The sequence below is a fragment of the Homo sapiens genome, chromosome 7 (genome assembly GCF_000001405.40).
Source record: "Homo sapiens chromosome 7, GRCh38.p14 Primary Assembly".
Taxonomy (NCBI): Eukaryota; Metazoa; Chordata; class Mammalia; order Primates; family Hominidae; genus Homo; species Homo sapiens.
In genome coordinates this window covers 75,897,034-75,907,364 of record NC_000007.14, presented here as the reverse complement: position 1 = coordinate 75,907,364, position 10,331 = coordinate 75,897,034, and the positions used below count along the sequence as shown (strand labels likewise).

General features: G+C 51.1%; 2 annotated features.

The window, feature by feature from the left end:
• Positions 456 to 1,026: an enhancer, noted in NCBI's record as "H3K27ac-H3K4me1 hESC enhancer chr7:75535657-75536227 (GRCh37/hg19 assembly coordinates)". NCBI's record gives its function as "activates a minimal SCP1, AML or CMV promoter by ChIP-STARR-seq in naive H9 embryonic stem cells {active_cell/tissue: H9 hESC(naive)}" and the evidence as "EXISTENCE:reporter gene assay evidence [ECO:0000049][PMID:30033119]".
• Positions 7,903 to 8,412: an enhancer, noted in NCBI's record as "H3K27ac-H3K4me1 hESC enhancer chr7:75528271-75528780 (GRCh37/hg19 assembly coordinates)". NCBI's record gives its function as "activates a minimal SCP1, AML or CMV promoter by ChIP-STARR-seq in naive H9 embryonic stem cells {active_cell/tissue: H9 hESC(naive)}" and the evidence as "EXISTENCE:reporter gene assay evidence [ECO:0000049][PMID:30033119]".

The window sequence follows — 10,331 nt, the reverse complement described above, 5'->3', positions numbered from 1 at the left end:
CCAGAACTCCAAATGTCACAGCGGCCTCTGACACCGTGTCTCATGTGTCTCCAGTATCACACCATGACCTTTGGACAGGATGGTTTATTCCCCTTGAGAGGCGTCCATGAGGGTGCAAGGCAAGTGAGTTTGCAGATTTCCTGGGTTGAGATAACCCTACAGGGTCAGGGATGAGAACATCACCAAAGTGTAGAAGCGCAGAATCTCTCTCTGGAGATCAGGGGACAAATTCCAATTAGACGGAACCAAGTGCATGGCCTTGGCCAAGTATCTTTTTTTTTTTTTCTTTGAGACCGAGTCTCGCTCTGTTGCCCAGGCTGGAGTACAGTGGTGCGACCTTGGCTCACTGCAACCTCTGCCTCCTGGGTTCAAGCGATTCTCCTGCCTGCCTCAGCCTCCAAAGTAGCTAGGATTACAGGTGCGTGCCACCATGCCTGGCTAATTTTTTTGTATTTTTAGTAGAGACGGGGTTTCACGATGTTGGCCAGGCTGGTCTTGAACTCCTGACCTTGTGATCCACCCACCTCGGCCTCCCAAAGTGTTAGGATTACAGGCGTGAGCCACTGTGCTCGGCCAACCCCATCTCTATGTTTAAAAAACAATAATAATAAAAGAAAATTAGAGCATTTAATAATAAAAGAAAATGAGAAACAGGAGGGAGGCGGTTGCTGTCAAGTGCAAAGCCAAGAGGATGGTTGACCCGCCTGGCTCTCTTCATTGTCCAAATAACTCCCCCAGACCTTCTTCCTGCCTCCTTGCTGCCCCAAACCCCTGGGTCTTCCTAACACGGCCAAAGAGGCATTTCAAAGAGGCGGCCCTGAACTGAGAAAGCAAACATGGCCTTTAGCTACAGCAGATCAGGTTTCCGGCTAGCTGTGTGGCCATGGATGGGTCCTGGGCACACGGACCCAGGCAGTTGCGTGAGGATTAAATGAGTTGCTGTGTGTGTGACATGGCCTGGTGCACCCAGCGGTTCTCAGAGCCCAGGATGGCTTCTTTCTCCTTCCTACTGCCCGCATACCCGCCCCAGTTTCACTCCATCCTTTGTTCCCCTCTGTTACGCAATCAAAGTTTCAGCTCTTCTGGGTTTGCATGCGGGAGCCAGAGCAAGCTTCTGGGGAAATGAGAGGGTGTTCGGGTGAGAGGGGGCCTCGGAAGCCACGCCCTTTCTCCCCCTCTTCCTCCCCATTCGCGTTCACATGCCAATGGGCCAGAACCTTTGCCCTGTCTCCCCAGTATGACACAAGCCCCAGGATTCTGTGCTCAAAATTGCTTGGCTGCTGCTGGCTGTTGCCAAAGCAACCAGCACCATTGTGCAAGGGCCGATGAAGAGAAGCCTGCCTGGCTTCCACGAACTGTTCAGACAGTGCTGTGGAGGACACCTGCCTGTGCCTCTGAGCAGTCACTTAGCAGAAATGGAAGTTGATGAGAGCTGATCCCTGGCCTCCAGGGGCTGGGAGTCTCCAGGCTGACTCACATCCCAGCCAGTACTGGTTTAGTTCAGTGATTCTCAAACCAGGAGCAGCAGCCTCACCTGGGAACTTGTTAGAAATGTCAAATTAGGCCAGGCATGGTGGCTCAAGCCCGTAATCCCAGCACTTTGGGAAGCCAAGGCAGGTGGATCACTTGAGGTCAGGAGTTCGAGACCAGCCTGGCCAATATGGTGAAACCCCCCACATCTCTACTAAAAATACAAAAATTGTCTGGCATCGTGGAGCATGCCTGTAGTCCCAGTTAACTCGGGAGGCTCAGGCAGGAGAATCGCTTGAACCCAGGAGGCAGAGGTTGCAGTGAGCTGAGATCATGCCACTGCACTCCAGCCTGGGCAACAGAGCGAGACTCTGTCTCAAAAAAAAAAAAAAAAGAAAAAGAAAAGAAATGTCAAATTAAGGCCTGGTGCAGTGGCTCAAGCCTGTAATCCCAGCACTTTGTGAGGCAGGAGTTTGAGACCAGCCTGGAGAACACAGCGAGACCCCATCTCTATAAAAAATTGGCCAGGCAAGATGGCGTGCGCCTGTGGTCCCAGCTACTCAGGAGCTTGAGATGAAAGGATTGCTTGAGCCTGGAAGGTTGAAGCTGCAGTGAACTATGACTGTGTCACTGTACTCCAGCCTGGGTGACAGAGCAAGACCCTGTCTCAAAAAAAGAAAGAAATAAACAAAAACAGGGGTTGTGGCTCATGCCTATAGTCCCAGCACTTTGGGAGGCCAAGGCGGGTGGATCACGAGGTCAGTAGATTGAGACCATCCTGGCTAACACGGTGAAACCTCATCTCTACTAAAAATACAAAAGAATTAGTTGGGCGTGGTGGCAGGCACCTGTAATCCCAGCTACTTGGGAGGCAGAGGCAGGAGAATCGCTTGAACCTGGGAAGCGGAGGTTGTAGCGAGCGGAGATCACGCCACTGTACTTCAGCCTGGGCGACAGAGAAAGAAAAAAAAAAACGAAAGGAGAGAGGGCGGGAAGGAGAGAGAAAAAGGAATGCCAAATTTCAGGCCACTTCCCAAATTGATTGAATCAGAAACTCTGGGGGTGGGGCCCTGCCATCTGTGGCTGAACAAGCCCTCCAGGTGATGCTGATACAGGCTGAAGATTGAGAACCACAAATCTGTTCTTTTCTTTTCCTTCTTTTTTTTTTTTTTTTTTGAGACGGAGTCTCGCTCTGTTGCCCAGGCTGCGGTGCAGTGGCGTGATCTCCGCTCACTGCAAGCTCTGCCTCCTGGGTTCACGCCATTCTCCTGCCTCAGCCTCCTGAGTAGCTGGGACTACAGGCGCCTGCCACCACGCTCAGCTAATTTATTTTTAGTAGAGACAGGGTTTCACCGTGTTAGCCAGGATGGCCCGATCTCCTGACTTCGTGATCCTCCCGCCTTGGCTTCCCAAAGTGCTGGGATTACAGGCGCAAGCCACCGCGCCCAGCCTCTTTTCCTTCTTTTTTTTTCCCTCCTCAAGACAGGCTCTTGCACTGTCACCCAGGCTGAAGTGCAGTGGTGCAATCATAGCTCACTGCAGCCTCGATCTCCTGGGCTTAAGCAAATCCTCCCACTTCAGCCTCCTGAGTAGCTGGGACTACAGGCTCACATCACCTTGGTCAGCTAATTTTTTTGTAAAGACAGCATCTCACTATGTTGCCCAGGCTGGTCTTGAACTCCTGGGCTCAAGTGATCCTCCTGCCTCAGCCTTACGAGTGGCTGGGACTACAGGTGCACACTACCACACCTGGCTAAGTTTTTTATTTTCTGTAGAGACTAGGTCTTGCTCTGTTGCTGAGGCTGGTATCGAAGTCCGAAGTCTAGGGCTTAAGTGATCCTCCTGTCTCGTCCTCCCAAAGTGCTGTGATTACAGGCATAAGCCACCGTGCCTGGCCTAAATCCTAGTCTTGAGATCTCACTGACACGCCAGGTTAATCTCTTTCCATACTTCCTCCCCCACAGACTCTCAGGGTCCCATCTCTTTTTTTTTTTTTTTTTTTTTTTGAGGAGTCTTGCTCTGTTGCCCAGGCTGGAGTGCAGTGGCGCTGTCTCGGCTCACTGCAAGCTCCACCTCCTGGGTTCACGCCATTCTCCTGCCTCAGCCTCCCGAGTTGCTGGGACTACAGGCGCCCGCCACCACGCCTGGCTAATTTTTTGTATTTTTTAGTAGGGACGGGGTTTCACCGTGTTGGCCAGGATGGTCTCGATCTCCTGACCTCGTGATCCACTTGCCTCGGCCTCCCAAAGTGCTGGGATTACAGGCTTGAGCCACCGCGCCCGGCCCTCAGGGTCCCATCTCATACAACATATGCCTGAACTCCCCACTCCTTCCCACATTTTTTTTTTTTTTTTTGAGACAGAGTTTTGCTCTGTTGCCCAGGCTGGAGTGCAGTGGCGCAATCTCAGATCACGGCAACCTCTGCCTCCCAGGATCAAGTAATTCTCCTGCCTCAGTCTTCTGAGTAGCTGGGATTATAGGCGCATGCCACTGTGCCCGGCTAATTTTTATATTTTTAGTAGAGACGGAGTTTTGCCATGTTAGCCAGGTTGGTCTTGAAATCCTGACCTCAGGTGATCCGCCCACCTCAGCTTCCCAAAGTGCTGGGATTACAGGTGTGAGCCACCGTGCCCAGCCCCTTTCCACAGTTTGGAATCTCCTCTTCAGCAACTAATAACTTCCAGACTGTTTTTGCACATGCCCCGTGACTAGGAGCTGCGGACCTATTCAGGCAGCGCATCAGCTTATGAAATCTCCAACTGGTTTAGGTTTCCCTTTGAGTGAGCTGAAATATATCCTCAGGTAAATCCACATTTTATAACACGTGTCTAATCCCCTGTAACAGAGATTACAGGATTATTTTATTTATTTTTGAGATGGAGTCTCACTCTGTTGCCCAGGCTAGAGTGTAGTGGCGAGATCTCAGCTTGCTGCAACTTCTGCCTCCCAGGTTCAAGTGATTCTCCTGCCTCAGCCTCCTGAGTAGCTACGTTACAGGCGTGTGCCATCATAGCTGGCTAATTTTTATATTTTCAGGAGAGATGGGGTTTCTGCATGTTGGCCAAACCGGTCTCGAACTCCTGACCTCAGGTGATCTGCCCACTTTGGCCTCCCAAAGTGCTGGGATTACAGGAGTGAGCCACAGTGCCTGGCCACAGGATTTTTAAAGTAAGAGAGAAAGGAGGGATATCTATGGATTTTTAAAGTATGAGAGGAAGGAGGAATATCTATGCTATTCATTTCCCCTGAATCTACCACCTCTCCTCTGCAGGTAGACAAAGCAGGTAGGCCAGGTGCAATGGCTGTGCCTGTAATCCTAGCACTTTGGGAGGATGATGAGGGAGGATCGCTTGAGGCCAGGAGTTCGAGACCAGCTTGGGCAACAAGGCAGATTCCCATCTCTACAGATAATTAAAAAAAAAAAAAATTTAAAGGCCAGGCACAGTGGCTCATGCCTGCAATCCCAACACTTTGGGAGGCAGAGGTGGGAGGATCACTTGAGGTCAGGAGTTCAAGACCAGCCTGGGCAACATAGCGAGACCCCGTGTGTACAAAACTTTTTTTTTTTTTTTAATTAGCTGGGCTTGGTGGCACATGCCTGTAGTCCCAGCTATTCAGGAGGCTGAGGTGGGAGGATTGCTTGAGACCAGGAGGTTGAAGCTGCAGTGGGCTATGATAACACCACTGCACTCCAGCCTGGGTGACAGAGCAAGGCCCTATTTCTTAAAAAAAAAAAAAAGATGAATTTTTGGAGTCTGGGTATAGGAGGAAAGGGTAGGTTGATGGACAGTAACTAAGACAAGGGGAGAGAGATGGGCATTCCAGCTTAACACTGCATGTGGACGATCTCCAAAAAAGCCTGCTGGGAGAATCAGTGAGCCCAGCTGGCCAGAGGATTTGCTCTCTATCAAAAGATAATGCAGTGAGCTAGATGTGGTGGTTCACGCCTGTAATCCCAGAACTTTGGGAGGCCAAGGTGGGCAGATCACCTGAGGTCAGGAGTTCGAGACCAGCCTGGCCAATATGGTGAAACCTCATCTCTACCAAAAATACAAAAGATTAGCCGGGCGTGGTGGTGGGTGCCTGTAATCCCAACTACTAAGGAGGCTGAGGCAGGAGAATCGCTTGAACCATGAGGCGGAGGTTATAATGAGCCAAGATCGCACCACTGCACTCCAGCCTGGGCGACAGAGCAAGACTCTGTCTCAAAAAATAAAAAAATTAATAATTAATTTTAAAATGCTATCTACAGTGCATGCTTTTTGCAAGCAGTTGCAGGGTTGCAGTCCCCTGTGCAGCCCACTGCCATTGGACTCTGTTGCCACATGGAAGCCCCCAGTAAAACCCCATGTCTCATCTGCTGGCTCTGGGGCTGTTCTTCAGCCTCTTGAACCTGGTGCCATCCCCACTGGAGCTAATATAGGTTCAGCACAACATAATATGGATTCAGAGAGACTATTTGTTTTTTTTTTTCTGAAATAGAGTCTTGCTCTTTCACCCAGGCTGGAGTGCAGTGGCAGGATCTCAGCTCACTGCAACCTCTGCCCCCACAGTTCAAGCATTTCTCCTGCCTCAGCCTCCCAAGTAGCTGGGATTACAGGTGCCCACCACCACGCCTGGCTAATTTTTTGGGTTTTTTTTCTTTTCTTTTTTTTTTTTTTTAGTAGAGACAGGGTTTCACCATGTTTGCCAGGCTGGCCTCGAACTCCTGACCTCAGGTGATCCACTTGCCTCAGCCTCCCGAGATGTCATCCCGAGATGGCACCCAGCCAGAAGAGACTTTTTATCCCAGAGGCAGCTCTCAAGCTCTTGGGGCCTAAGAGAATCACTTTGCTTTTGCTGTTGGGGGTGTGTAGCTAGTGTCCCACAAAAGAAGAAACCTGATCTGATCAGGGCCCTTATGTAGATCCTTGGGGACAATGACAGGATTATTTTAATTGTTTTGGCAATGTTGGTTCTGTCAAGTGTGGCAAGAGAAAAAGATGATGCCGTAGCTCAGAAAAGAAAAAAACAACCATCCTGGCCTCATTCCCCAGAACATGTTTTTTCAGAGGGATTAGTGTTTTGCATGAGAAGGAAGGAGCCCCAGAAACTACCCATCTTTGCCTTGGGCTTCCAGAGGGCATGTGGCTGTCCGAACCCTCGGTTTGAAGAGGATGTCTCCGTTTTTTGGTGATTGTCTTCTTCCTTCTCCCTTTTTATTTAAATTTTTTGTTTTTATTTTTATTTATATTTTCTGTTTTATTTTATTTGAGACAGAGTCTCGCTCTGTCACCCAGGCCAGAGTGCAGTGGTGCAGTCTCAGCTCACTGCAACCTCCGCCTCCTGGATTCAAGCCATTCTCCTGCCTCAGCCTCTGTAGTACCTGGGGTTACAGGCCGCGTGCCACCATGCCCGGCTAAGTTTTGTATTTTTAGTAGAGACAGCATTTCACCATGTCGGCCAGGCTGGTCTCGAACTCCTGACCTCAGGTGATCCTCTCACCTCAGCCTCCCAAAGTGTTAGGATTACAGGTGTGAGCCACCGCGCCCAGCCTATTTTTAATTTTTTTAGAGACAGGGTCTCCGTCATCCAGGCTGGAGTGCAGTGGCGCGATCATAGATAGCTCACTGCAGCCTCAACCTCCTGGGCTCAAGCGATCCTCCTGCCTCAGCCTCCCAAAGTGCTGGGATTACAGGTGTGAGCCACCCAAAATTTTTTTACAAGCATTTCCACCCTGCAGGCGGTCCTGGAAGCATGGAACTGGAGAAATAATTACAGGTGGTTCCCCAGGGACTCAGTGCCAGTCCCTGCAGCTAGGTGAATATTCCGAGACCCCTCACTGGAATCATGTAGGAAGGACAGGCCTCAATGGGCCAGCTGTGTGCTCCTCCAGCTCTGTGGCCTTGTCCCCTCCATTGCACTTCCTTCAGCTGATAATAGACACCTGGCTGCCTCTCTGTGCTCCACAAGGCCCTGGAAAATCCCCAAAGTCACCAGCCCTTGGCCCAGGGGCTCAGGGCTAGAAATCAGAAATGGCTGCAGGGTGGGATGAGGGTGGGAGCAGGTAGGATGCAAGGTGGACGAGAAAGGGGCGCCAATGTCCATTCCCCCACAGACTTAAAGCAGAGGTGGTCAGCATGGAGGAACCTTCCAGATCATCACACCAGCATCCTCATTTTACAGATGTGAACACTCAGTCCAGAGAGGTTGAAGCGCTTGCTCAAAGTCAACAGGAAAACAACAGCAAGGCTGGGACTGGGGCCCTTGGTTCAGATCCCTATTCAGGGCCTGTCCCTGTGACACCATCCAGGCCTCAGCACAGCTGTGGAGGCAGGACCTGCACCAGCTCCAGCCCCTTCCCCACTTCCAGGCTGGGACAGGAAGGAGGGCATGGCCATGCCTGGTCCATGCCGGGCCCTATCACCAAGGCTCGGAGCTGGTGCCATCTTCCCCCAGCTGCACCTCAGGGCTCGGCTCCAGCTGACCTGTAGGTATACAGCCAGCCTGCTCTCTGCCCTCCTTCCCTGGAGCCATTTGGAGGGACAAGGAGGGTGGGGCAGCAGGACCGCCACTTCCTAGGGCTCCACTTTGGCCCCCATACCCCCATCCTGCTCTGTCCCCATGCTAAGGAGGCACCCACCTGGACAGCTGGGGCTGTGGGTGCCCCAGGCAGGGCTGACCAGCCAGGGCAGGTCCTGTGCTGAGGGCGGTCTTGGCTTCCCTGGGCTTGAGCCTCTTTATGAGCAAGAGAGGCGTGGTGTGAGGGATTAGGGGTGTAGGTCATGATATCTGCACCTGAGAAATGTTCCACCCTCAGTACCCCTGCTAGGCACGGAAAGCAGCAGCTGAGGCCACGTCTGGCTCCGGAACAGCCTCTGCCCTGTCCAAGGCCCTTCCCTCCTCACGAAAACAAAGAGAAGCCATGGGGCTGGGCAGGGCCCCGGGAGTGAGGCTCATTAGGTACCAATGGCCTCTCCAGCTCCCTTTAGTCCTCTCTTTAAGACTTGGGCCCCTACATGAGGAACAGGGACCTCTGCAGCCAGCCAGACCTGACAATTGCCACTTACCCTGAAGCCTCAAACAAGTGAGGCTCCTTGGAGCCTCGGTTTTTTCATCCCTAAAATACAAATAATAAGAATAGGCCTGGTGTGGTGGCTCAGACCTGTAACCCCGGCACTTTGGGAGGTTGAGGCGGGAAGATCGCTTGAGCCCAGGAGTTCGAGACCGGCCTGGGCAACATAGTGAGGCCCTATCTCTTCAAAAAATAAAAAATTAGCTGGGATGGTGGTGCACACCTGTGATCCCAGCTACTTGGGAGATAAAGGTGGGAGGATTGCTTGAGCATGGGAGTCAGAGGCTACAGTGAGCTATGATGACACCTCTGCACTTTGGCCTGGGCTACAGAGTGAGACCCTGTCTCAAAAAAGAATCTATCTATCCATCTATCTAGCTAGCTAGCTATCACTATATATAATTACATATAACTATAAATTTATAACTACATTATATATATACATAGTCATTTTAACTGCTGGGTCTAGGAATAATTTATTATGCAGCAATAGATAAGTAATACAGTTACTTGAACCATCAAGATCTTATTCTCCTCACTGTCCTTTCTAGGATAAGGGAGGTTTATTTATAGCAGCACTGGGAGTAAGCTCACCAGCCATTCAGCCCATCACTCTTTACCGCTTACAGGCCATTTTATTTTATATTTATTTATCCATTCATTTTTGAGACAGAGTCTCACTCTGTCACCCAGGCTGGAGTACAGTGGCAAGATCTTGGCTCACTGCAACCCCTGCCTCCCAGGTTCAAGCAATTCTCCTGTCTCAGCCTCCCCAGCAGCTGGGACTATAGGCACACACCACCACACCCGGCTAATTTTTGTATTTTTAGTAGAGACAAGGTTTCACCATATTGGTCAGGCTGGTCTTGAAATCCTGACCTCAGGCCTCGGCCTCCCAAACTGCTGGGATTATAGGCATGAGCCACCATGCCTGGCCTACTATTTTTGTTATTTATTATTATTATTTTTTTTAGCAGAATCTCACTCTGTCACCCAGGCTGGAGTTCAGGAGCACAATCTTGGCTCACTGCAACCTCTGCCTCCCACGTTCAAGCCACTCTTGTGGCTCAGCCTCCCAAGTAGCTGGGATTACAGGCATGCACCACGATGCCTGGCTAATGTTTCTATTTTTAGTAGAGATGAGGTTTTGCCATGTTGGCCAGGCTGGTCTCGAACTCCTGACCTCAAGTGATCCACTCCCCTCGGCCTCCCAAAGTGCTGGGATTACAGGCATGAGCCACTGCTCCTGGCCTATTATTTTTTTTGAGACAGGGTCTTGCTCTGTCGCCAAGGCTGGAGTGCAGGGGCACAATCTGGGTTCACTTCAGTCTCTACCTCCTGGGCTCAGGCAATCCTCCCATCTCACCCCCCTGAGTAGCTGGGACCACAGGCACACTAATTGGGCATTTTCACATAAGCAAGCTTTTCACTGTTACAACCAACTACAGATGGGGAAACTGAGGCTCAGAGAGGCAGAGTGACTTGCTTAAGACTATGCATTTTGTCCCTGATGGGGCCTGAATCACAACATTGCAACCAGGCTGTGGGTGGACCCCACACAGTGGGCCTTCAACACAACTGGATGTCTGGGGAGCAAAGGTTGGAACTGCTGACAGAGGCCCTGCTGACGGAGCCGCTCTGGCCTCCAAGACAGCTGCCAGCGGAAGCCCCTATGTGGACCTCTCCTGGGGGGGTGGAGGGGAGGCAGCTGTAGGCTGTGACCTTCTGAGGATGACCTTCACTGCCAGGCAGGTTCAGGATGAAAGGTGGCCCTGGCATTTGCAGTGATTTTGACCAGCCTGGGTCA